The sequence below is a fragment of the Homo sapiens genome, chromosome 1 (assembly GCF_000001405.40).
Source record: "Homo sapiens chromosome 1, GRCh38.p14 Primary Assembly".
NCBI classification, from domain to species: domain Eukaryota; kingdom Metazoa; phylum Chordata; class Mammalia; order Primates; family Hominidae; genus Homo; species Homo sapiens.
The window spans coordinates 31,212,473-31,240,179 of NC_000001.11; the positions used below are offsets into that span (position 1 = coordinate 31,212,473).

The 27,707-nt window shown below is 50.8% G+C and overlaps 1 protein-coding gene across 1 annotated transcript in view, besides 2 other annotated features; it reads right to left on the reverse strand.

Annotated features, from left to right (window-relative positions):
* NKAIN1 (sodium/potassium transporting ATPase interacting 1) overlaps positions 1-27,415 on the reverse strand; it is a 60,143-nt gene extending 32,728 nt beyond the window's left edge. Inside the window, exon 1 of the mRNA NM_024522.3 lies at positions 27,022-27,415. Coding sequence (NP_078798.2) covers positions 27,022-27,075 — 54 coding nt within the window. The 5' untranslated portion in view covers positions 27,076-27,415. The remainder of the gene's footprint in view (positions 1-27,021) is intronic.
* Positions 3,662-4,161: an enhancer, noted in NCBI's record as "NANOG-H3K4me1 hESC enhancer chr1:31688981-31689480 (GRCh37/hg19 assembly coordinates)". NCBI's record gives its function as "activates a minimal SCP1, AML or CMV promoter by ChIP-STARR-seq in naive H9 embryonic stem cells {active_cell/tissue: H9 hESC(naive)}" and the evidence as "EXISTENCE:reporter gene assay evidence [ECO:0000049][PMID:30033119]".
* Positions 9,782-10,282: an enhancer, noted in NCBI's record as "H3K4me1 hESC enhancer chr1:31695101-31695601 (GRCh37/hg19 assembly coordinates)". NCBI's record gives its function as "activates a minimal SCP1, AML or CMV promoter by ChIP-STARR-seq in primed H9 embryonic stem cells {active_cell/tissue: H9 hESC(primed)}" and the evidence as "EXISTENCE:reporter gene assay evidence [ECO:0000049][PMID:30033119]".
* Positions 27,416-27,707: the final 292 nt, after the last annotated feature.

Genomic DNA, 27,707 nt, shown 5'->3' on the forward strand with positions numbered 1-27,707 from the left:
CTGCTCACTGCAACCTCCACCTCCTAGGCTCAAGTGATCCTCCCACCTCAGACTCTAGAGTGGCTGGGGCCGCAGGCACACACCACCAAACCCGGCTACTTTTTGGATTTTTGATAGAGACAGGGTGTCACCATGTTGCCCACACTGGTCTCGAACTCCTGAGCTCAAGCAATCTGCCTGCCTTGGCCTCCCGAAACTTTTGAATTACAGACGTGAGCCACCGCACCCAGCCATAAAAATAAGCTTGGCCAGGCCCGGTGGCTCAAGCCTGTAATCTCAGCACTTTCAGAGGCCGAGGTGGGCGGATCACAAGGTCAGGAGATCAAGACCATCCTGGCTACGGTGAAACCCTGTCTCTACTAAAAATACAAAAAGTTAGCTGGGCGTGGTGGCAGGCGCCTGTAATCCCAGCTACTCGGGAGGCTGAGGCAGGAGAATGGTGTGAAGCTGGGAGGTGGAGCTCGTGGTGAGCCAAGATTGTGCCACTGTACTCCAGCCTAGGTGACAGAGCAAGACTCTGTCTCAAAAAATAAATAAATAAATACACAAAATAAAAAGCTTTTTCTTTTGTTTTTTTTTTTTTTGAAAAACATTAGTATATCAAAGGGTACTATCAAGAAAGTGAAAATTTGTACAGATAAAGTTGTTGAGGATACAAAAAAAAAGAAAGTGAGAAGTCAACCCATACAATATGAGACAATGTTTGCCAATCATACATCTAATAAGTGTCCAAAATCCAGGATATATAAAGAACTTTTGCAATTCACCAGTAAATAGATAAATAACCCAATTAAAAATGGAAAAAGGATTTGCAAAGAATTTCTCCAAAGAAGGTATACAAGTGGCTGATAAGCACAAAAAAATATGCTCAAAATAGTCATTTGGGAAATGCAAATCAAAAGTGTGACATACTTCACACCCACTAGGGTGGCTCTAATAAAAAAGGCAGATAATAACAAGTGTTGATGATGCAGAGAAACTGGAACTCTCATGTGTTGCTGGTGGAAATGTAAAATGGTGCGACTGCTGTGGAAAATGGGGCTAGTTCTTCCAACAGCTGGACACAGAGATATCATGCGGCCCTGCATTTCTTCTCCTAGGTATATACACCTGAGAAGTGAAAACAAAGTTAGCACAAAGCTTGTACATAAATGCTCATAGCAGCATTATTCATGGCAGCCAAAAAGTGGAAACAACCCAATGTCCATCATCTGATGGATGGATAAAAAATTGCAACACAAGTTGGGTGCAGTGGCTCACACCTGTAATCCCAGCACTTTGGGAGGGTGAAGCGGGAGGATCCCTTGAGCCCAGGAATTCAAAACCAGCCTGGGCAATACAGGGAGATCCTGTCTCCACAAAAATTTAAAAATTAGCTGGGTGTAGTGGTGCACACCTGTAGTCCCAGCTACTTGGGAGGCTGAGGCATGGGGATTGCTTGAGCCCGGGAGATTGAGGCTGCAGTAAGCTGTGATCACATCACCACACTCCAGCCTGGACCACAGAGTGAGCCCCTGTCTCAAAAAAAGAATAAAATAAAAATTAATTAATTAATTAATTAATTAATTAAACAAAATAAAAATTTAAGAAGTGATATATCCATACAACAGAATATTATTAAGCCATAAGAAAGAATGAAGTATTGATACCTGCTACAACATGAATGACCCTTGAAAACATTATGCTAGGTGAAGGATAACAGTCACAAAGGATCACCTACTGTATGATTCCACTTATACAAAATGTCCAGCATAGGCAAATCCAGAAAAATAGAAAGTGGATTAGTGGTTGCCAGAAGCTGGTGGCAAGGGGGAGTGGGGAGTGACTGCTAATGGGTTTGGGGGTCTCTTTTTAGGATGATGAAAATATTCAGGAATCAGATAGTGGTGATGGCTGCACAACTTTATGAATACACTGAAAACCACTGAATTGTACACTTTAAAATGGAACAATTTTATGGTATGTGAATTATATCTCAATAAAGTTAAAAAAAAAAAAAAAGAAAAAAACCAGAAACGGATCTTGGCCTCATAGAGCTTACATTCAGTGTATGTGTACATGTGTATGTGTGCATGCATGTGTGTGTCTGCATGTGTTTGTGCATGCGTGTGTGTGCACACCTGTGCAGCACAAAATCCCTGTTGTGCTCAGTGCTCTGAAGGAAGGGTGCCAAGGACAAGAGCTATGATGAGAGTGGTCAAGGAAGACTTCTGCGAGGAAGTGATCTGAAGGAAGAGGTAACAGGATAAGGAGGAAAGGGAGGGAGAATCAGGCAGAGATGAGCGCCTGTGCAAAGGTCCTGTGGAGGGAGGGAGATGGACATAATAGCAGGCGCTGGAGAGGACCCAGGTGGCTAGAGCTGGGGGAATGCGAGGGAGGGACACCAAAGGGAAGGGCTGGAGGGGCCGTCATGCCCTGTGGCCTGAACAGAGAAAGCAGCCTGGGATGGGACACTAAGCCCTCCGGGCGCCCCCTAGGGCCAAACATCATGCTGGAGGCGTTAAGCACCTACGGTGGGGAGTCAAGTGTTCCCAGTCAGCATCTGGAAGGAGCCCGGAGGTCATTTGTTCTGGCTGAGGCCACTCTTCATGTGACCTCGTGGGAGGAGAAAAAAATCCAATTCCCTGACTTATTTAGCGGCAGCTCCTTGTACTGATTCTCCCAGGAAGGAAATTCTGATGAAAACCAGTCTCACTGCTATGGCAACAGCAACCACTTCTGACTTCTCCTTCCGACTAAAAGCCAGGTGGGGAAGTCTGCCTAGCAACAGCAGTGGGTGTCAGGAGCCCCTTGGGCAAAGTTGCACAGCAGTACTCCCCCCAACCCAGGGCTTCGGGATCCCCCTTACCTACTTTCTGTCCCAGTCTTGGCTCGGACCCAGCATCCCGCTTCTCTTTCCAGTGGAGAATCACAGCAGGCACCAACATCTGGACAGCGCTTCACCACTCAGATTGTGATTTACGCTGCCCGTGATGTGGGACTGTTATCCCCATCAGACCGCCCGGGACACTGAGGCTCAGACAGGTGTAGGGGGTCTGTCAGTCTGGTGTCCTTCCCTGGCACTGAACTACTCATTCCTATGCTGAAGCTCTGATTATCAGCACAGGCCTCCTGCTCTGATTCCTGCAGCACGAAGGAATAAATGACACCTCCTCCACCCCTCCCCTCAGTCCCTTTCCTGGTAATCCATCGTATATGAGGGATGGGGGTGTCTGGCCCAACCGAAGGCCCTGGGAGGGATCACCTGGGGCCTGTTACCGCTGGAGCAGTAAGAAGGAATCATGGCAGAGGCCATGAGTGGTGCATCTCTCACGAGTTACCCCCAGTGACTATGCTAGAAGGGTTTCTCTTCAGAATACCTGGCTCTGACCTATAATAAAAGCACTAATAACAATGGCTAAGATATGCACATGGACTCTGGGCCAGCACTTTTTGTGCCCCATGTCATTCAGCTCTCACAACTACAAATGAGGGATGGGCCACTGCCCCCTCGTTCTACGAAGGGGACAAGATCTCAGAGCTGGAGTGGGGGCACAGCTGCAGTAAACCCAAGTGGTCTGGTCCCAGAGCCTGAGCTCTTAAGCAGATACCTGCAGGCCCCACTGCAGCTTTGGGAGGAGACTTTCTCTCCCTCTATCTCGCAGGCAGGCTGGGAAGATTAAAGGGGAGGGCAGAGGAGCACGGGGGAACGGAATGGAACAATCATTTCCTGGCCCTGGGCCAGAGGCGGCTGGTTGGATCTGTTGGAGGAAGCAATTGCCGTCTGCACGTGGGAGCAGGAGTGGAGCGAGGAGGGCAAGGAAGGCCTGGTTCTCACGGCCTAGTCTGAATGTGCCTATGCCGAGCGCTGCTCTTCACAGGTGGCATTTCCTTTCATCCCCAGAATGACACTGTGAGGGAATCATAGCTAATGCTTACCCTATGTCAAGTATCTCTCCAAGTTTAGAACACTTTGATTCATTTAATCTTCAAAGAAACATGCCAGGTACAGCCTAAGGTCAAGCCCGCTTTGCATATGAAAGCACTGAAGCACACCAAAAAGTAACTTGCCTGAGGTCATATGGCAGATTAAGATTTGGACCAGGTCCCCTGGCTCATGTCCATGAGTTTAACAGACTCGCTGCCCTGCTAGGAGAGCTGGAGGACTTTTCTTCCAGAGGAGGGGCGAGGCCATCATCAGTGGGGTTTGATCTCCTAGGAACGCCTGTGGCATTGACTTTTATTTATTTATTTATTTATTTATTTATTTATTTATTTATTGAGACAGCTGGAGTCCAGTGGCACCATCTCGGCTCACTGCAACCTCCACCTCCGGGGTTCAAGTGATTCTCCTGCCTCAGCCTCCCGAGTAGCTGGGATTATAGGTGGCTGCCACCACGCCTAGCTAATTTTTGTATTTTTGTGTGTGTGTGAGATGGAGGCTGTCTGTGTTGCCGAGGCTGGAGTGCAATGGTGCGATCTTGGCTCACTGCAAACTCCGCCTCCCGCATTCAAGCGATTCTCCCGCCTCAACCTCCCAAGTAGCTGGGATTACAGGCGTGTGCCACCACGCCCAGGTAATTTTTGTATTTTTAGTAGAGACAGGGTTTTACCATGTTGGCCAGGCTGGTCTTGAACTCCTGGCCTCAAGTGATCCGCCCACCTCGGCCTCCCAAAGTTCTGGGATTACAGGCATGAGCCACCGTGCCGCGGCATTGACTTTTTGTTTTAGAGACAGGGTCTTAGTCTGTTGCCCAGGTTGGAGTGTGGCAGCACAGTCATAGCTTACTGCAGCCTCCAACTCCTGGACTCAAGTGATTCTCTTGCCTCAGCCTCCCATGTAGCTAGGGCTACAAGTGTGTGCCAACATGCCCAGCTAATTTTTGTATTTTTTGTAGAGACGGGGGTCTCACTATGTTGTCCAAGCTGGTCTCAAACTCCTGGCCTCAAGAGACCCTGCTGCTTTGGCCTCTCAAAATGCTGGGATTACTGGTGTGAGCCACCATGCCTGGCCTTGCATTATGATTTATTTAGTGGCACCTCCTAGACTGATGGGCACCCTCACCACTGCTCCCTACCAACCCCCACCCGGAAACATCAAGACCATGGGGAAAGGCTCTAGCAGCAGACTCTTGCCCATAATTGGGCAGAGAGTAGCTGACTGCTTCCACCCACTGGGGGATCTTATTCTTGTTCCAGGTATTTTTGTCTGGAATTACACGCCCAGTCTCCATCCCTCCTGGAAGTGGCATCAGCCTGCTTCCTGGAACAGCACATGAAGGGCCTCAGTGCCAGGCTCCCTGTCCTCTCCTGGGGCAGTGAGGAAAGGAGACAGGAGTTGGACCTAACAGGCCCCACTGTGTCCCTGGGGTTCTGTGTACTCATCTGTATAAACAAAGGGCTGCAGGGATGTTCTCTAGGGACCCTCTTGGCTCCTGGATTCCAGGATTCTGTGCCTGGGAGGACTCCATTCAGCAAACAATCATGATTTATGCTTCATAGGCACTCCTGTCCTCTAAGCACCTAATAATGATTTGTATTGGCCATAATCACAGCAGCTACCATTTTCTTTCTTTCTTTCTTTCTTTCTTTCTTTCTTTCTTTCTTTCTTTCTTTCTTTTTTTTTTTTGAGATGGAGTCTCGCTCTGTCACCCAAGCTGGAGTGCAGTGGCACATTCTCAGCTCACTGCAGCCTCTGCCTCCCAGGTTCAAGCAATTCTCCTGCCTCAGCCTCCCGGGTAGCTGGGACTACAGGTGCACACTGCCATGCCTGGCTAATTTTTGTATTTTTAGTAGAGATGGGGATTTCAACATGTTGGCCAGGATGGTCTCGATCTCCTGACCTCATGATCCTCCCGCCTCAGCCTTCCAAAGTGCTGGGATTACAGGCATGAGCCACCGCACCTGGCCGCAGCTACCATTTTCTAAGCCTTAACTAAGTGCCAGGTGCTGCTGTGCTGAGTGCATTTCATGGATTCTCTCACTGAATTTGCTGGATGGCTCTAAGAGGCAGGTACACTCATCTCCACTTTACAGATGAAGAAACTTGAAACTGAGCTCAGGGAGGCTGGGCAACTTGCCTCTGTTCACACTTTTAGGAAGTAACAGATGCAGGATTTCCACTCCCTCAGCTTCCTCTTCTGCAAAATGGGAGGAAATCTTACCATCACCTCATGCTGCTGGGAGAGTGAGAGTTGATCAGGTGCATCAAGCATTTGGCCATAGCAGGCCTTGATAAACTGTGCCCCTGTACCCTCCTCCTCACGTCCCCACTTCCTGTCCTATTTGTCCCTGATACCAACCAGCCCAGCCTGTCATAGTCGACAACCACAGTGTGATTCCCAGGCTGGGCCCCAGACAGCCTCTCAGTTCAGTGGATGATCCCTGTCTCTGGTGGCCTGTCTTGAGGATGACAGCTAGCGGCAGCCTGGGGACGGCAGTGCGCTCAGATGACTCGTGGGGCTGCTGACCAGCAGACAGGCAGTGACAGGCTGAGCAGCTGGCATCACCCGAGGCTGATCAGACACCCAGGGGAGCCCTGGCCTGCATTCTGCCCTCAAGTCCAGACCCTTCTCTAACATTTGGGGGCCTTGTGGACCAGGGCAGGAGCACCAATGCGGGTCTACCCCTCACATGCCTAAATATCTAAGTTACAAACCAAACTAACAACCTCCTAAATATATGTTCTGTCTTCTAATAGACTTAATGGTCTGGTAGGCCAGGCTGTGAATTTCAATTCCTCTGACTTCTTGGAGTTTTGAGCCAGAAGGTAGTAGCATCTTTCAGCATATGGGAAAGCCAGCCCCAGCTATCAGTCCCATTTCTGGCTGGGGTCTCATACGCAGGTCTGGATCCTAGGACACATGTGTAAGCTATGTCCACACCTGCCCCTCCTTCCAAGCAGCTGGCGCTGTCTATGGGTGGACATACACACACTGGCAGCGCAGGCTGTCCTCTGGAGAAGCCCCGGCACGCCCTGACAGTGGGCTTGGGGCTGACTGGATGGGGGAATCTGGGGTCCTGAGTATCTGGGGTGGAGTCTAGGGTGGGAGCGTAGGCATAGGTTTCCAGTGAGCATGTCCCCCTGATCCTGTGGACTGCCCGCCCTGGGGAAAGGGGCATGGCCAGAGGAGGGCCACAGAAGGCCCCCTAATGCTTCCGGTACCGCCCAGGTCCCCTGTAGCGGGGCTGTGGTGTCTGTTGTGAGCAAACTCGTAAATCATCACTGGAGACACATTCCCAAAGGAAGGTCTCAGGCCACACAGGTGCCTAGACTCCAGGAGTAGCCCAAGGGTTTGGAGAGCTTGGGATCAGGAAATCCAGGTTCAAGTCCTAGCTCTGCCATGTGCTGGCTGTGATTGTGGCCCAGCAAATTCCCCTGTTGGTTCCCACTTGCCCATCTGTAAAACAGGGATGACAGTTTCTGCCTAGCAGAGTTGTATGAAGGAGCAAATGAGTGCAGTAAGGTCTGTGAAATGTTTGTGCCTTGCTTGCACAGGCTATTCAACTCCACCCTGGCCACTGCTGCTAAACCTGCTTCAGAACACTCAGATTTTTTTTTTTTTTTTTTTTTGAGATGGAGTTTTGCTCTTGTTGCCCAGGCTGGAGTGCAATGGCGTGATCTCGGCTCACTGCAACCTCTGCCTCCCGGGTTCAAGCAATTCTCATGCCTCAGCCACCTGAGCAGCTGGGATTACAGGCATGTGCCACCACGCCCAGCTAATTTTTTTTTTTTTTTTTTTTTTAGTACAGACGGGGTTTCTCCATGTTGGTCAGGCTGGTCTCGAACTCCTGACCTCAGGTGATCTGCCCACCTTGGCCTCCCAAAGTGCTGGGATTACAGGCGTGAGCCACCACACCTGGCAACATTCAGATCTTTTACGATCTTCTTTTCCTGTATAATGCTCACCATCTGTGTCCCAACATGATCACTGATAGCATCTGAGTCCACATGGGCAGGGACATTGCCTCCCATACTACCGTATCCCCAGCACCTACCTAGCACAGAATAAGCACCCAGTGGCCGGGCACGGTGGCTCACGCCTATAATCCTGGCACTTTGGGAAGCCGAGGCCAGTGGACTACCTGAGATCAGGAGTTTGAGACCAGCCTGGCCAACATGGCGAAACCCTGTCTCTACTAAAAATATAAAAATTAGCCAGGTGTGGTGGCATGCACCTATAATCCCAGCTGCTTGGGAGGCTGAGGCAGGAGAATCACTTGAACCTGGGAGGTGGAGGTTGCGGTGAGCCAAGATAGTGCCACTGCACTCCAGCCTGGCGACAGAGTAAGACTCCATCTCCAAAAAAAAAAAAAAAAAAAAAGCATCCAGTGAATATTTGACTGGCTGGATAAACTATGAAACTTTGTGATTTGTGATTATTCACCTGGGCCTTCCATCTGCTCTTGGGGTTCATTCAAGCATCACACATTCACTGAGTTCCTTCTGAGGGCCACACTCCATGTCCACACTCAGTGGACACTTCCAGGCCTCAAGGAGCTCCCAGTCCAGGGAGAGGGATTTGATGTGGAAATAGAGCAGAATTACAACAGCATAGTACCTGCTGTGATGGAGGCAGGGGACAAGTTGTCAGGGCCCAGAGGAAGAAGTCAGTGTGGTGAGCATGCGGGAGTACAGAGATGCTCCGAGGATGAAATGATGGATTAGCAGGCCTAGGAGATAAAGAAGGAAAGAGCTTCCAGAGAGGCAGGCACAGCAAATGGCAAAGGCTCTGAGGTGTGAAACAACCCAGGGTGTTTAGGTCCATGCAACCTGAGTTTAGGGACACGGAAGTGGTAAGTTTCGGTTAGCAGGCAAGCCTGGGCAGGCTTTCAGTGTCTCTCTGGTCTAGACGAATAATTCTCATTGTGTGGTCCCTGGACTAGCAGCATCAGCATCACTTTGGAACTTGTTAGAGATGCACATTCTTGGCCCCCATCCCAGACCTCCTAAATCAGAAACTCTGGGGGTGAAGCCTGGAAATCCATATATATATATTTTTTGAGACGGAGTCTTGCTCTGTCGCCAGGCTGGAGTGCAGTGGTGCGGTCTCGGCTCACTGCAACATCCGCCTCCCGGGTTCAAGCGATTCTCCTGCCTCAGCCTCCCGAGTAGCTGGGACTACAGGCACGCGCCACCAAGCCCAGCTAATTTTTGTATTTTTAGTAGAGCCGGGGTTTCACCATGTTGGCCAAGATGGTCTCGATCTCTTGACCTCATGATCTGCCCACCTCGGCCTCCCAAAGTGCTGGGATTACAGGCATGAGCCACTGCACCTGACCTGGAAATCCATATTTCAACAAACCTCCAAGTGCTTTTGATGCATGCTAAAGTTTGAGAAACACAGCTTTAGACTTTATCCTGAAGGCAATGAGGGGCCAGGGGTAGGGTTTAAACAGAGGCGAGGCAGTATCAGAACTGCATTTTATTTTATTTTATTTTTTTGAGACAGAGTCTCACTCTGTCACCCAGGCTGGAGTGCAGTGGTGCGATCTTGGCTCACTGCAACCTCCACTTCCCGGGTTCAAGCAATCCTCCTGCCTCAGCCTCCTGAGGAGCTGGAATTACAGGCGCCCACCACCACACCTGGCTAATTTTTGTATTTTTAGTAGAGACAGGGTTTCGCCATATTGGCCAGGCTAGTGTTGAACTCCTGACCTCAGGGAATCCACCCGCCTCGGCCTCTCAGTGTTGGGATTACAGGCGTGAGCCACTGTGCCCAGCAGAACTGCATTTTATTAAGATTGCTTGCGCAGGCTGGGTCCAGGGCAGTCTGGTGAGGGGCTGGTAAAAACCCACATCTGAAAGCTGGCCTGACATGGAGACTCCCTCCAGCTGGACAGAGCTGCTGTGGCTGCAGAACATGTGTGTATCTTCACACGTGAAAGGGAAGTGGCTACTGGGAAGTCAGGGACCCCTGCTGGGCAAAGGGCCTGTTGCCAGGGTGACCACCTGTCACTCAGATAAAGGGGGCACAGTCCTACAGAGGGTCAAGAGGCCAGAGACTGTCATCTGCCAGGCCTTCACTTTCCTTTGCCAAGGCAGGGTATGGACCCATCTGGGGGTGGTGACCCGTCACCAGTGGTGGGGCTCTCCCATTCTTTCTTCAGCTGGTGCAGGGTGAGAGGAAGAGGAACAGGAGGACTCAATGCATCCTCTTCAACCAGGAGACGGATGCAGAGGAGCACATTAAACAGCTTTTCAAGGCTCCCCAACAAGGAAGCTCAGAACAACTGAGGCCCAAACTGAAGCTCAGGAGAGGGGAAAGGAAGAGAGAGCAAACTGCACCCTCAAACCTGGTGAAGTGCAAAGTTCAAGGAGTTTGGAGTCCAAAAGGCCTGGGTTAGAGTCCTGAACAAATACTGTGTGATGTTGGGCAGGCTCTGTCACTCCCTGAGCTTCAGTTTCCTCATCTGTACATGGGAGATAGTATCCATATAATAGTGTCTACCTCTTAGGGTTACTGCAGGACCAACTGAGGAAATGCATCTGAAGTGAGATGCACAGTGCCTGGCACCTCCCTGCGTCTTGTCCTCTTTTCTTCAGGGAGGGAGGAACACCTGCTCTCAGGCGGCTACTCCTTGATGCTGGGACACTTGCTGGGGAAAAGCAGCGGCTCTGGGATCAGAAATGCTCCATAAACGGCCAGGCGCGGCGGCTCACGCCTGTAATCCCAGCACTTTGGGAGGCTGAGGTGGGTGGATCACCCGAGGTCAGGAGTTTGAGACCAGCCTGGCCAACATGGCAAAACCCTGTCTCTACTAAAATACAAAAATTAGCTGGGCATGGTGGCAGGTGCTTGTAATCCCAAATGCTCGGGAGGCTGAGGCAGGAGAATTGCTTGAACCTGGGAGGCGGAGGTTGCCATGAACTGAGATTGCTCCACTGCACTCCAGCCTGGGAGACAGAGCAAGACTCCATCTCAAAAAAAAAAAAAAAAAAGAAAGAAAGAAATACTCCATAAACATTGACTGCTGGTACTGTTTGTTTTGTTTTGTTTTGTTTTTGAGACGGAGTCTCGCTCTGTCGCCCAGGCTGGATGGAGTGCAGTGGCGCGATCTCCGCTTACTGCAAGCTCCACCTCCTGGGTTCACGCCATTCTCCTGCCTCAGCCTTCCAAGTAGCTGGGACTACAGGCCCCTGCCACCACACCCAGCTAATGTTTTGTATTTTTAGTAGAGACGGGGTTTCACCGTGTTAGCCAGGATGGTCCCGATCTCCTGACCTCGTGATTCGCCTGCCTCGGCCTCCCAAAGTGCTGGGATTACAGGCGTGAGCCACCACGCCCAGCCGACTGCTGGTACTGTTATTATTACCATTAATCACCTGGCAATGAATGGAACCCTGCCTGGTAAATTGCTTCCTCCAGGTAATCTGCATTTCCTATTGTCCTTGTAGTCTTCATTCACTACAATCTGCTGAACGAATGTTTTCTAGAAAGCAGGAGCTATGTTATACTTTTTAGTTTTCCTGCAATGCCTGTTCCAGTCCCTGGCAGGGAGCACCCAAGAAGCTCAGCAAGGAAGGGACTTGGAGATCATCTACTCTAACTCAGTATGCAAGACAGACAGCTCTCCTCCCTAGCCTTATCAATTGCTTGAATGCCTCCAGGGATGAGGCATCTCCCTGTAAAGCGGTTTCCAGTGTCCAGGACTCTGGGGAGGCTGAGCTCCATGGGGTGAGTAGGAGCTGAATGGGCAGCTGCAGAGGTTGGGGACATCCCCCCATGCCCCAGCAGCCCCCTTCCCTCCCTCTGAGAGCCGATGATAGGAGTGGTTCTAATTATGCTCTAATTGCTTTCTTCCAGGCAGTTTCTCTGGAGCCAAGGAGTTCAGAGTTCATGAATAAATGAACAGGGAGGAAGCGGGAAGGGATGTTTATTGATCCACAAATCTCTACGTGCCAGTGTCCGCCCCACAAATGCTGGGGCATGCAGCAGTGTGCAGTTTCGAATACAGATGCTCCTTGATTTACGACGGGGCCACATCCCAATCAAGCCATCCTAAATCGAAAATGCATTCCACACCCCAATAAACCCATCGTAAGTCAAAAAACCATGTTGAACCACTGTGAGCTGTAAGCTGGGGACCAGCTAGCTGTACATACAAACACAGAAACATACCACAGCCCCCAAATGTCCCTCTCCAACAGACTGGTGGGGAATAAAAGGAAGTTAACAAGAAGTTTCCTAATAGATGAAGCAACTTGAGGATCATGAAGCGTAAGTGCCCTGCCCGGGGCCTCAGAGCCAGTGAGTGGCAGAGAAGGCACCTGGATCCAGAGCCCTTGCTCTTCCCCACCCGGTGTCCCACCAGCACGGAGGTGACAGTCAACCAAATGTGGGTTCCTCCCGCCTCTTCCCTAGTGCCTCCTCTCTTGGAGGGTGGCCAGCTTTTCTTGGAGGATGAGGCATTTGGATGGAGGGGCAACCTGAGGGGGGCAGTGCCCACCTAACAAGGGTAGAGTTGAGAGTGGGACCCAAAGCCAGCGGACACTGCACATGGAGATTTGTGGATCAAATACCCTTGACTTAGACTGTGGTCTTGGGCAAGCCACAGCCCATTTCTTTTTCTTTTCTTTTCTTTTTTTTTTTTTGAGACGGACTCTCACTTCATTGCCAGGCTGGAGTGCAGTGGCACAATCTCGGCTCACTGCAAGCTCCACCTCTTGGGTTCAAGCAATTCTCCTGCCTCAGCCTCCCAAGTAGCTGGGACTACAGGCACCCGCCACCACACCTGGCTAATTTCTGTATTTTTAGTAGAGATGGGGTTTCACCATGTTGGGCAGGATGGTCTTGATCTCCTGATCTCATGATCTGCCCGCCTCAGCCTCCCAAAGTGCTGGGATCACAGGCATAAGCCACCATGCCCGGCCTTTTTTTTTTTTTTTTTTTTTTTTTTAAAGACAGAGTCTTACTCTGTTGCCCAGGCTGGAGTGCAGTGCCACAATCTCGGCTCACTGCAACCTCTGCCTCCTGGGTTAAGCAATTCTCATGCCTCACCCAGCTGAATGGACTACAGGCACCCACCGACATGCCTGGCTAATTTTTGTATTTTTAGTAGAGACAGGGTTTGCACTCTTGGCCAGGCTGGTCTTGAACTCCTGGCCTCAAGTGATCCACCCACCATGGCCTCCCAAAATGTTGAGATTACAGGTATGAGCCACCACGCCTCACAGTCCATTTCTGGACTTCAGTTTTCCCAGCTACATTGTGTGAGGGTGGAGGTGATGTGTGAGAGCCCCCCTCTCAGAAAACTAGAATTTAAGATGTCCGGGGGGACTCATGCAGCCAGATAGAGTCTTGGGCTATGCCCCTCTCAGGTGGGCACTGTCTCCCTCAGATTACCCCTCCATTCAAATGCCTCATTCCTCCAGGAGAAGCTGGCTGGAGGCTGTAGGGAAGAGGTGGGAGAAACTCACATTTCGGTGACTGCCACCTCCATGCTGGTGGGACACTGGGTGGGGAGGAGCAAGGGCTCTGGACTCAGGTGCCTGCTCTGCCACTTACCTCACTCAACTTATGCTTCTTGAGCCTTAAGTTGCTTCATCTGTTAAATGGGAATGACAGATTATGTTATGAAGCTTCACCCAGGGAATATAAAAGGTTTAGCTGACTGCCTGGCACATAGTGCTTGATAAGTGGTAGTTGTTATTGCTAACATTGCCAACAACCCTGCAAGGAACAGGCTGTCGCCTTCATTACAGATGAAGAAACCAAGGTATAGAGACGTCAAGCAACTTGCCCAGCATCCCGCGTTAAGCGCCAGGATTTGAACCCACTATGTGATCCATCTGTGTCCCCAGGGGCTGGCACATAGTAGGTATCCATAAATAATGTGCTGAATTACAGAGAAATGCAGCAAAAAAAAAAAAATCCTGTAAAAACAAGCCCCACTTCTAGTGACCAAGGTGGGGGTGAGCTGATAGAGGAAGAGCTAGACCAAAATTTCCTTCAAGATCAAAGTGAAGTGCTGGGTCTAAGGGACCCTGGGACTCCTTGACTCCTCGGTGGCTGGGGCCAGGCCAGATGGGGATATCGGGGCTCCATGGTATGTGCTTGTTGAAGAAAATCTTTTTTTTTTTTTTTTTTGAGACGGAGTCTCACTGTCACCCAGGTTGTTGGAGTGCAGTGGCACAATCCCGGTTTACTGCAACCTCCGCCTCCCGGGTTCAAGCAATTCTCCTGCCTCGGCCTCTGGAGTAGCTGGGATTACAGGCGTGCACCACCACACCCAGCTAATTTTGTATATTTAGTAGAGACGGGGTTTCACCATGTTAGCCAGGCTGTTCTCGAACTCCCAACCTCAGGTAATCTGCCCGCCTCCGTCTCCCAAAGTGCTGGGATTACAGGCGTGAGCCACCGCACCCGGCCAGAAAATCATTTTTTCTGGAGATACAGTCTTGCTCTGTTGCCCGGGCTGGAGTGCAGTGTTGCAATCTCGTCTCACTGCAACCTCTGCCTCTCGGGTTCAAGGTGATTCTGGTGCCTCAGACTCCTGAATAGCTGGGATTACAGGTGCACGCCACCACACCCAGCTAATTTTTGTATTTTTAGTAGAGACGGGATTTCACCATGTTGGCCAGGCTGTTCTCAAACTCCTGGCCTCAAGTGATCTGCCTGCCCTGGCCTCCCAAAGTGCTAGGATTACAGGTGTGAACCACTGTGCCCAGCCAAAGGAAATCTTTTTACCCCTTTATGAGTTCCACTAAGAAGCCAAAGGTAGGAACCCTGGCTGTTGGCACCAGCCAGACTGTGCTCTGCCGCTGCCTCGTTGCGTGACTTTGGCCAAGTGACTTCAGTTCTCTGAGCCTCAGAGTCCTCATCTAGGAAACGGAAATGGGTGTGACAAAGTTCCACCTCTAGGGCTGTTGTGAGGATGACCTCAGGTGGCACATGTGAAGCTATGTGGCATTGGGGTTAAGGGCAAGACCTGGGTTTGCGCAGCTCTGCCACTGCTGGATGTGACTGCTCTCAGCCTCAGATTCTGCTTCGGTGAAATAGAGGTAGTAGCTGTGCCCACCCCACAGGGTGCCATGAGGATGAATGAGCCACTCCAGGTAAAGCAGTTACAGCAGAATGAGGTGGGTCATAAGTGCTCAGTAAATCTTCTCTATTAGACTATGCCATGTGCAGAGACCCTGCAGTCCATTTTATATACGGGGAAGCACAGCCCCCAAGAGGGCCAAGGACTTGCCCAACCAAGGTCACAGAGCCAGTTCACAGCAGAGCCAGGCCTATCTTTGAACCTGGTGTAGGCAGGACCCCCTGTCCAGACCTTTGATTCCATGATAGCGTGAGATGTATGAATGGATAACCACAAGACCTTTCATGGCCCCGGGCCATCCTGCTCATGGCTTGAGGACTCTAGGGGTGAGAGGTGGCTGATGCTCCTCTCCCCTGTCCTCCCTGGTGGCTCCAACGCTGGCCTGAACCAGTGGGGTGTGTCAGAGTCCAGGGAGGGTTGCCCCACCTTCCTGTCCCCCTGGCCAGCCCCTCCACTCCAGTGCTGGCTGTTAGAAGCCTCAGAAACAATCCAAAGGCCCAAGACCAGAACACCATTTGTCAGCTTTGCATGGTGGTGGCGGGCTTGTCTCCATGGCAACAGTGCAGTGTGAAGGCATCCTGGCATCATTAGGGAGCGCGCTGAGTAGTATAAACAGAGGCTGCAGTAGATTACACGCCTATTATGAGCAGTCTCGGGCTCTGAGCACTGGTAATTATGCCTAATTGTGCATTTAATTGTGTAATTGAAAACCCACATCTCTGGTTCAGGCTGGGGCTGTGGAACATGCCCACCTCCTCCCAAAAAACAGGCTTAGGAACCAATCCTTATCCTGAAAATCTCAGAATTTTTGTCCTTCTAGGGCAAGGGGTGGCCAGAGCAGGCAAAGGGATAAAATGCCTAGAGATTTCCATTTCCCCTACTGCCTGTACCATGAGCTCACCAGGCCCTGTGATTTGAGGTATGGGGTGGGAAGAAGTATGCTAAGGAGAGGGGACATGGTGAGCTCACAGAAATGTTCATAATTATAGATATCATTGTGTGCTGTTAGCACTGTCCTCTCAGGACCTAGAACCAGCATTGAGTGGTTCCAAGGGATCTGGGTCATCACTAGATCCACTACATGTCCAAGCAGTCATCCGACCTACACATAAATTCTTTCTTGCTTTTTTTCATTGTTTGAGGCTGGAGTACAGCGGCATGATCTCGGCTCACTGCACACTTGACCTCCTGGGCTCAAGTGATCATCCTACCACAGCCACCTCAGTAGCTAGGACCACAGGCTGGCACCACCATGGCCAGCTAATTAAAAAAAATTTTTTTTAGAGATGGGATCTTACTGTGTTGCCCAGGCTGGTCTTGAACTCCGGGCCTCAAGTCATCCTTCGGCCTCAGCCTCCCAAAGTGCTGGGATTATAGGTATGAGCCACCAGGCCTGGCCACACATAAATCCCACTGCCTAGGACAGGAAACTCACCACCTGGTTATCAGCCCCCACCCCTGCAGAGCCTCTGGAGGGTCTGAAAGCTGCTAACAGAGTTCAGTACTCTCCTCTCATTTCCCACTTCATAGGCTGTGATAAATGAGGCCCAGAGAAGGCCAGGCCCAACTCAAAGTTGCACAGCAGTGAGTACTAGAACCCAGGCATTCTGTCTTGCAGCTGAGGGCATGTTTCATACACTAAGGTGACTCAGCACCTAGAATCATGCATGGCAGTTTGTGTGTGCTTGATAAATATTTGCTGGATTCAACTCCAGGTAGAGTTAGCTAGAGGCAATTCTCACTCTCTGACCCAAGAGTATTAGTCTTTCTGTAGTTCAGGAAGCTCACCTATGGTGAGCTGGAGGTGAGTGATGGGCCACAAGCCTCCCAGCTCTGAATCTCTGTAGTTTGAGACTTCATCTTACAATCAAAATATGCTACATGGGCATCTGGGGTGGGAGCAGTGCAGCCTATGTTGCCCAGGCTGTAGTGCAGTGGTACAATCATGGCTCACTGCAGCCTCAACTTCTGGGGCAAAAGCAATCCTCCCCTCCGCTTCAGTAGCTGGGACGACAGGTGCATGCTACCATGCCCAGCTAATCTTTTACATTTTTTTTTCTTTTTTTGAGACGGAGTTTCGCTCTTGTTACCCAGGCTGGAGTGCAATGGCGTGATCTCAGCTCACCAGACAGACAGACAGACAGACAGGAGAAAGATGAGGTCACCAGAGTCCCTGACAACCTGACACCCAGGTGTAAAGTCTTGAGCAAGCCATCAGAGGCAGAAGTCTCCTCCTGACCCCAGGCCCTGACACTCCATCAGTCACCACTGCCTGCAACAAGGTGGGCCAGGCAGCACCTCTTACCTCCACCTGGGAAGAGAAGGAGCTCATTACTGACTCAGAGCTGGAAGGGTCCTTTGAGATGATGAGTCCAACCTTTTCCCCATACAGAGCAAGAGAGAGGCCCAAAGAGGCCACGCCTTCATCTTGGAACCCCTCTTAGTGAGTGGCAGCCTGTGCCCACGGCTCTCCCTGCATTATCTCAGGTTGCCCTCATTATAGTCCTATGAGGTGGGTGCTATTATTATTCCCATTTTACAGAAGAGAAGACCACGGTCCAGCAATGCCAAGACCACACAGATGAAGAAGAACTGCTGCTCCAGCTTGAGCCTTCCATTCATTGAGAAAGGGGAGTCATCTCATTTCCTACCCCACAGTACTCGGATTGCAGAACCTGCAGCCTCATATCCTGGGCATTCAAGAGTGTACCCCCTTTGTGAGCTCCCACTCCACACGTTTTATTTCAAAGGAGCCTCCCAACAACTCTCTGAAGTAGATGATCATTATCCTGATTTAGAGAAGTGCAAGTGGAAGCTCAGAGAGGTTAGGTGTCTTCTTGCTCAAGGTCATCCAGCTACAAAGAGGCAAAGCTGGAACTCAAATCCCAGCCTGACCCCAAAGCCCGGGTTCTTCCCAGTTCCCAGTCCACCTCCTTGTCTCTGGATTTGTCAGCTGCTTTGAGAGGGGCCAGGAGGCCAATGTAAATCAGGAAAACCTGCAACCACACTTAACGGCTCTTCTAAAACCTTACTGCTCATTCAGTGCCTCTAGGGGAAGTTTGCTTTGCTCTCTGAAGCTCTCCCTCATCTGTGAATCAATCGACATCCCTCTCCAGGCCAGGGCAGGGAAAGCCAGGCAAAGCACTGGGACTTGGCTTCCTGGGCCTAAACCCAGCTCTCCCCCCATGGCCTGGATCTAGTGTTCAATTTAAAAAATGTTTTTAATTTTTAATTTTTGTGGGTTACATAGTAGGTATATATATTTAGGGGGCACATGAGATATTTTGATATAGGCATCCACTGTGCAATCGTCACATCAGGGTAAATCAAGCATTTATCCTTTCTTTGTGTTACAAATAATCCAATCATACTCTTTGGGTTATTTTTTTTTTTTTTTTTTTTTGAGACGGAGTTTTGCTCTTGTTGCCCAGGCCGGAGTGTAGTGGCACGATCTTGGCTCACTGCAACCTCCGCCTCCCAGGTTCAAGTGATTCTCCTGTCTTAGCCTCCTGAGTAGCTGGGATTACAGGTGCCCGCCACCATGCCCAGCTAATTTTTTGTATTTTTAGTACAAATGGGGTTTCACCACGTTGGCCAGGCTGGTCTCAAACTCCTGACCTCAAGTGATCCACCCGCCTCGGCCTCCCAGAGTGCTGGGATTACAGGTGTAAGCCACTGCACCATCCAGTTATTTTTAAATGTACAGTAAATTTCGTTGACTGTAGTCACACTGTTGTGCTATCAAAGACAAGATTTATTCATCCTATCTAACCATGTTTTTATACAACCTCCCCACTCCCCGACTACCTTTCCCAGCCTCTGGTAATCCTTATTCTACTTTTTTTTTTTTTTTTTTTAATAGATGCAGGGTCTTGCCATGTTACCCAGGCTGGTCTCCAACTCCTGAGCTCAAGCAGTCCACCCACCTTGGCCTCCCAAAGTGCTGGGATTACAGGCGTGACCCACAGTGCCCAACCTCCTCATTCTACGCACTATCTCCATGAGTTCAATTGTTTTTGTTGTTGTTTGTTGTTGTTGTTGTTGTTGTTTTTGAGACGGAGTCTCGCTCTGTCACCCAGGCTGGAGTGCAGTGGCGCCATCTCAGCTCACTGCAAGCTCCGCCTCCTGGGTTCATGCCACTGTCCTGCCTCAGCCTCCCGAGTAGCTGGAACTACAGGCGCCCGCCACCACGCCCGGCTAATTTTTTGTATTTTTAGTAGAGACAGGGTTTCACAGTGTTAGCCAGGATGGTCTCGATCTCCTGACCTTGTGATCCGCCCGCCTTGGCCTCCCAAAGTGCCGGGATTACAAGCGTGAGCCACTGCACCTGGCGAGTTCAATTGTTTTAATTTTTAGCTCACACAAATAAGTAAGAACATCTGAAGTTTGTCTCTCTGTGCCTGGCTGGAACTAGCTTTTTTTTTTTTTTTAATTTTTTTTGAGACAGGATCTCACTGTGTTGCCCAGGCTGTAGGGCAGTGGTGCAATCATGGCTCACTGCAGCCTCAAGCTCCTGGGCAAAAGCAATCCTCCCCTCTGCCTCAGTAGCTGGGACTACAGGTGCATGCTACCATGCCCAGCTAAGTTTTTACCTTTTTGTTTTTCTTTTTTTGAGACGGAGTTTCGCTCTTGTTACCCAGGCTGGAGTGCAATGGCGTGATCTTGGCTTACCACAACATCTGCCTCCCAGGTTCAAGCAATTCTCCTGCCTCAGCCTCCCGAGTAGCTGGGATTACAGGCATGAGCTACCATGCCTGGCTAATTTTGTATTTTTAGTAGAGACAGGGTTTCACCATGTTGGTCAGGCTGGTCTCGAACTCCTGACCTCAGGTGATCCACCTGTCTCAGCCTCCCAGAGTGTTGGGATTACAGGCATGAGCCACCGTGTCTGGCCTACTTCATATATATATATATATATATATATATATAGAGAGAGAGAGAGAGAGAGAGAGAGAGAGAGAGAGAGAGAGAGAGAGTGGGGGAGGTCTCACTATGTTCCCCAGGCTGGTCTCAAACTCCTGGGCTCAAGCGATCCTTCCACCTTGCCTTCCCAAAATGCTGGGATTACAGGTGTGAGCCACCGCACCTGGCCTGGAACTAGTTTTTAAAAATACACCTGTAGCCTTAGTCTGCCTTCCTGTCACCCATCTCTCCTTAATACTAGAGAAGAGTAGTTTGGGAGTCTCCTACCACATAGAATAAAAAAATACAAAATAAAAAATAAAAGGACTGACTAGAGGAGACAACATGTTCCAGTGATCAGAGCTGACTATCTCTGCTTGGTCCAGATTTTATAACAATTGTTCTCAAACCCTTTCCCCTTGATGACTACTCTGAGGCTCAGACTATTATCTCCTGTTTCCTTGGAGAGATGTCATTTTACCCTTCTGAGCCTCAGTATGTCCATCAGTTAATGGGTATAAAAACCACACCTATCTCATAGAGTTGTTATGAGGATGGATCACTTGTAGATACAGGTTACTTTATTCCCTGGTTTTCTCAATCTGTATCACAGCTCCTTGGCACACTGCAACCTCCGCCTCCCAGGTTCAAATGATTCTCTTGCCTCAGCCTCCCGAGTAGCTGAAATTACAGGTGCCCACCACCACGCTCGGCTAATTTTTTGTATTTTTAGTAGAGATGCGGTTTCACCACATTGGCCAGGCTGGTTTCGAACTCCTGATCTCAAGTGATCTGCATGCCTCGGCCTCCCAAAGTGCTGGGATTACAGGTGTGAGCTACCGCACCCAGCCGTGCATCACAGCTCTTTTAAGTCCAGCACAGAGCTTGGGGGTGGGTAGAATGGGGAGAGGGGGCATCTGTGTAAGCAGTTAGATCTGGCATCTGGTAACAAGCCCTGTGGCTGAGGAAAGGTTTGGATTTCTCCACCTGCTTCCACTCCAGCGTCCCACAATACTAGCAGGGGGCAATGGGGCATGCAGGGAGAAGCTGTGGAGTCCCAGATCTGAGTTTGAATACTCATTCTGCACCTATCATTTATGTGGCCATGGATAAGCCACACAGTAGCAAGAGACATATATAAAATGCCTAGTACAATGCCTGGCTCATAGCAGACACCAAACAAAAAGAAATTCTCATTATGTTAATTTCCCACTCAGCCCCATATTTTCCACATAAAGAAGAGCTGGAGTGTTTGTGGGAATGACCCTGATCACGAAATCCTCTAATACAGGCAGAGATGGGGCTGACGTGACTTGTCCAAGTCTCAAGGCAAATCATAGCTAGCCCTGGAGAGCACTTTCCTAGGCCAGGGACCGTACTTGGCTATCCCGGCATCAACTTGCGAATTCCCCAAACTGCCATGGGCTCGTTCGTGGGGTAGAAGCTGTTTTTCTGACTACTTTGTAAGTAAGAAGGCAGAGGCTCAGAGAGGGTGCAGGACTTCCTGGGAGTCACAAAGCAAGGCCTGATCCCAGATGTAGTGCTCCTAGCCCCTGTGCCAGATCTCAGCGAAGCTGCCATTTATGGGCTGCTTATTTAAAAACCATCCACTCACCTACCCTTATAAAGGAGGAGAACCAGGGCCATCCCCAGGTCCCCTGGAGGCCTTCTTCTCCATTCTACCCTGCTCCGCCCATCTCATAAGGGCCTCGAGGGCAGTTTGGCTTCAGTCTGTTCATTCACAAAAGGGAGTTGATCATCCCTGCCAACTCTGTCCAAAGGGGTATGAGGAACAAAAGGGGCCAGTGGCCTGCATAATTTCACGCTCCTGACTCTGATACCCGGCCCAAGGACCTCAAGCACCCGAAGCAGAACCAGACCCTCCCGAGGAAGCCGTGAGCTTGCAGCTGCAGCTGCTCCAGAGTGCAGGCCCCTGCTGGAGCCCATCTCCCTTTGGTCTTCGCCGTCACTATTGCTAATAACGACATCAATCAGGTTGACCATGTTTCACACCATTACTCGCAGCTCAGCTGGAAGCTACATCCCGCCCCCCGCCCCCACCTTCCAGAAAGCAAAGAGCTTTCTAGAAGGGAAAAGAATGAAACCAACATTTTTCTGAATACCTACTATGTGTCTGGCACCTGGCCAAGGAAGCCCTTTCTACAACTCTGTGGGCTAGAGATGACTCTTCCTCTTTTACAAAGGAAGAAACTGTGGCCAGAGGAGTGAATGCGTGTGTCCAAGGTCACACAGAGCTGGGACAGAAACAACCATGGCAGTGATCTATTATTGGGCACTCACTGGCTCACAGTGCAGGCACTACACATGAGGCTATCGAAATATGATCATCTTCATTTTCAGATGAGGAAACGCAGGCTTGGACCTGTCTGGGGTCAAGCACTGGTTAAACGCGAGCAGTAGAGTAGCACGGGGCTGAGAGGGTGGCTCTCTGTTCAGACAGAAGAGTCCTCGCATCTTGGTTCTGTCACTGACTAGCTTAGCGAGCTTGGGCAAACGTCACACCCCTTCGCACCTCAATTTCCTCACCTGAAAAAGGGGATAATAAACACATCTACCCCACTGTGTGGAATTGCAATAAGAAGGATGAAAGCAGTAAAAGAGCTAACGTTTATTGATCATTTAACATGCACCAGGCACTTTGCCAAGCACTTTACATATGTATGCTCATTTGGTTAAATGAGGTAATGCATATAAAGTGCTTAGCACAGGACTCCTGAAATGGGAATGATAATGATGATGATGAAGAAATTGATGGGGATTCCCTAGGGCAAATCTCACTGGTTCATCCCCTTCCAGGAAGAACAGAGTGGCCTGTAAGGTTTCAGGAAGGAGGTGAACAAGGAAGAGCTGGGTTTGGAAAGGAGAGAGAAAAGGCACGGGATTAAAAATTAGAGGGTGAATATGTTAATAATGTTGTCAAAATGATACACCAAAAAGAATTCTGGAAAGCAAGGGACCCAAGATGTTCTACAGAAAGGAACCGGATCAAGATGCAACAAAACTGCCATGCCAAAGCCAGGTGTGGTGACATGCACCTGTTGTCCCAGCTATTTGAGAGGCCGAGGTAGGAGGATCACTTGAGCTCAGGGATTTGAGGCTGCAGCTATTTGAGAGGCTGAGGTGGGAAGGTCACTTGAGCTCAGGAATTTGAGGCTGCAGTGGGTTATGATTGCCACTGCACTCCAGCCTGGGCAACACAGTGAGACGCCTATCTCTAAAAAATAAACAATAAATAAACAAAACATGCCAGTCCAGGCACCACCCTGAGTTCCTGACAAGTACAGCTGGCAGGATCCCAGCGAGCCAGACCAATAATGCCTCCCATTTTACAGATGGAAAAACCAAAGCCTAGAGTGTGGAAGAGACTTGCCCCAAATTGCAGGATGTCAGAAGCAGAGCCAGGCTTAAATCCAGGTCTTTTGCCTCTCAGCTCAGTGCCCAACTACCTGCTACTTCCCACAAAGGACAGTCCACAAAGGACAGTGCAGGGGGTCACCTGGATATGTTTGGGCTACAGTGCCACAGACACATCCCATGATATGAATCATTAAGATAATAACAATAAGCTACAGTTTAATGAGTACTCACTCTGTACCTGCCAGAGTGCTAAATTCATTATATGGACTGAGTCCTCACAACAACCCTAAGGATTAGGAACTGTTTTATATTCTCTCTATTTAACAGATGACAAAACTATGTGGCTCAGAGACGGTAAGCAACTTGCCCAAAATTGCATAGCCAGGAAGTGACAGAACCAGGTCTAAAAGCCAGGTCTGTCCTGTCAAACTTCAGAGCCTTAACTACTATCCTACACTTATCCATCTGAAAGGCACAGTCCCTACCTGCTTCCCTTAAACCCCATGGCACCCTCACACCTCACTCCCTCACCCAAATCACATCTATCCCAACTGAGGAAGAATGTTTCGAATTGGCCTGATTCATTGTAACGATTAAACTCCATTTGAGAAAGAAAAATGACACAGTTCCTCCTAAGTTTTCAGCTGAAAGATATTTAACAGCCTCTTTTTTCCCTTCAGTCCCTTGGATGAGAAAACCAAGACTCCCTTCTCCCCTCAGGCTGGTGAATTCCAACATCCCGGGGCACATTATGGAAGCTATCAGGCAGTAGGGGCTCATGGAGGTTAGTGACAACTGGAGGGCCCACTCTGCAATGAGCCCAGATAGTGCAACAGAGCCAAGAGAGCAATTTTCAAGTTCCTCCCGCAAATGATCTTGTGCAACCTTCACAAGCTGCCCAAAGCCACCCAGCCGGGATGTGGGAGAAACCAGAATGCCACCCAGGTCTCATCTAACTCAAGCCTCTAGTGCTGGTGAGCTCCTCTAAGTGGAAGAGTGGGGTTAGCTTAGCAAGGGAGAACTATGGAGGAAGGGAAGTGGGAGGCAGAGAGACACTCTACCACCTTCATTTCTCTCTAGAGCCATGAGCTCCTTCCATGGGGCCCCAGACTTACCAGGGCCAGAACTACTTATTTTATAATTAAGAAGGCAACAGAGGACCTGGCCAACTGCCTGGATTCAAAGCCTGGATCCTGGCTGGATGTGGTGGCTCATGCCTATAATCCCAGCACTTGGGAGGCTGAAGTGGGAGGATGGCTTGACCACAGGAGTTTGAGACCAGCCTGGGCAACAAGAGTGAGACCCACCTCTAAAACACAAAAAAATTAGCTAGGCATGGTGGTGTGCCCCCGTAGTCCCAGGTACTCAGGAGGCTGAGGTGGGAGGATTGTTTGAGCCTGGGAGGTCAAGGCTGTAGTGAGCTATGATTGCACCACTGCACTCTGTCCTGGATGACAGAGTGAGCCCATGTCTCAAACAAAAACAAAAACAAAACCCCCAAAACAAAGCCTGGGTCCTAGTTCCTGTAGAATTCTGGACAAGTTACTTCATAGGGCTGTTAGGATTAAATGAGTTAATACCTGGAAAAGTGCTTCCAAGAGTACCTGACACTTAGTCAAGGGCTCTCCAAAGCTAACCGTTATTATCGCCAACAGAGAATGAGCATGGGACAAACTGCTAACAGGTTCACCTTTGGGGAGGGGTCTAGTTATAGAGAGAAGAAAACTTTTTTTTTTTTTTTGAGACACAGTTTCACTCTGTCGTCCAGGCTGGAGTGCAGCGGCGTGATCTCATCTCACTGTAACCTCCGCCTCCTGGGTTCAAGTGATTCTCATGTCTCAGCCTCTCGAGTAGCTGGGATTACAGATGCGTGCCACCACCCCTAATTTTTGTATTTTCAGCAGTGATGGGGTTTCTTCATGTTGGCCAGGCTGGTCTCGAACCCCTGACCTCAGGTGATCTGCCCATCTCGCCCTCCCAAAGTGCTGGGGTTACAGGCATAAGCCACGATGCCTGGCCTAGAAAACTTACTTTTTATTTATCTGTCCTGTTTGATTATGTATGTATTTATTTTTTACAATATATGTATATTACTTTTCTAATTAAAAAAAACCCCTAGTTTAAAATTAAAAAATTAACAAACACAGAAGAATCCTCTGAAAGGTTTAAACATTTCTTGGCATTTCATGTTCCTCAAAGTAGATAAAGAAAAACAGACAATCTCTGCCCTTCTGGAGTTCCCATTCCACCTGATCTTAATTAATTCCCTCTGCAATCCTCAGGGATAATCATTTTACAGATAAGAAGACTGAGGCCGGCCAGTGGGGGGAAGTCACTTGTCCAGTCTCCCACAGCTGGGAGCAGGGCTACAATCTCCAGAGCTAGGGCTGTTTCCACCACTGCCCAGGCCAGGTCTGTGGATGGCATGTTTGAAGCTGGTGTCCCCAGGAGGAGAGAAGCAAGACGAATGAGGAGGTCTGCATGTCCAGGCTCAAAACTTCACTCTACATTATCATTGGCTCCTGTGGTGGGGAGGGCGTGATGGATGCAGGCAAGAGTGGAAACCCAGAACAAGGAGTCCAGCATGAGGGGGGCTCAGGCTCCTCGCTGCCCACTCTCAGACCTGGGTTCGGCGATGGAGGTCCCCATGCACCTCTGCCTAGAGGAGAAGCACAGCTTCAACCTCCCTAGTTGTTCAATCTCAGCTCTAGGGTAGGTAGGAGACCCCTGCCTCTCCTTAACCACCCTCCCAAATTCCCCTGCCAGGGCCTGATTTGAAGGGCAGTGCTGTTTCTTCTAGTCCACTACAGTCACTCCTCCCTGAGACAAGAACCTGAGTTCCCTATGCTGGGGCTAGGCACAGTGTCCTCAGATGCTCTGGTCCTCCCTAGGGCACCCAAGTGTCCCCATCCCCACTGTTGCTGGCCCCGGCAGAGGAGCTGCTCTGGTGGGTGGAACTGATGACTGATGGAACCCCCATGGCCACAGCGGCCAGACCAAAGCAGGAAGTGTGGTCCAGGCTGGGTCAGGCTGGCCCAGGATCTGGCAGCTCCTGGTGACCCTCTCCAGGGAGGTGGCTCTCCTTTCCCAGGACTGCCCGGTCAGGAAGGTGAAGGGAGGCAGAAACAACACAAAGGATTGGAGGGTTCTTGGAGTCTAAGATCCCAGAACACAGATGAACATGGGCCAGAAATGGTCAGCGATTTAGAGACACACCAAAGAGAAACCCTGAGAGACACACGCCGGAGCAGAGACTTTGTGAGAAACGCTCACACAGGGGTGGTGATCAGAGGCAGAGACCCAGAGGAAGGGAGAGACCCATGCAAACGAGGGATCTAGAGGGAAACACACAGCAGGACCTCAACGGATCCACAGATCAGCCTCAGACACACCCCCAGTCCCAGCAAGCCACCGTCCCACAGCGCATCCCCCAACAGGAGGCCACTTGTACAGTGCGGGCGGGCCGGGGACTCGCGCACAGGACGCACTTGGGGACCGGAGGAGCGCCGGGCACAGCAGCGAGAAGCGCACACAAAGAGACAGCCCGGCCAGCGGGAGCAGGCTCCGCCCGACCGCTCCGAGACTCCAGACCACCCCCCGCCCGGGCACACGCACCAGACACACACACAGAGACACACGCAACCCCACCCGCACGCCCTGGGACCGCGCCCCGCCGCGCCCCACCCTGCCCCGACTGCCTGGGCACGCGACGCTTACCAGCTGCAGGCAGCAGAAGGCGACCAGCGTGCAGCGCCCGCTGCACTTGCCCATGGCTCCGGGGGCTGCGCGGGCCGCACGCCGCGGCGCCCTTCTTGCTCCGCGGCCGCCGCCTGCTCGCGCCGCGCGGGCTCCACGTCCTCCCCGCTGGGCGCGCCGGGCGGCGGGGCCGGGCGCCTAGGGCCGGGCCCGGGAGTGTCCGGTCCCCAAGGCTGGGGCCGGCCGCCCGCGCTCCGAGTCCATGGTCCGTCCGTCCGCGCGCTGGCCCCGCCGAGCCGCGCCTCCTTTGTCTAGCGGGCCGTCCGTCAGGCGCGCCTCCTGCCCCGGGGCGGCTGGCGGGGAGCGCGGAGCAAGGAGAGCGAGCCCCGAGCGCGGCGCAGCGCAGAGCAGCACTGCCCAGCTGGGGCAGTCGCCCGGGCTCTCGTCGGCCGCGGCTTCCCGGCCCCACCACGTGGCTCCGCCGCCGCCACCGACAGGGAGGGAGTTGGGGGGAACGGCAGAGGGGTGGGGCGGGGGAGCCGCCGGAGGGGAGGGGAGAGGGATAGGGAGGTGGAGGGTTGGAGAGGCAGGGAGTGAAGTGGAAGAGTGCGTGCGGGCTTAGGGGACAACAGCCCTGAGTCAAATCCAGACTTTGCTGCTCACTCGCTGTGTGACCTTGGGCAAATCACGTCACCTCTCTGGACCTG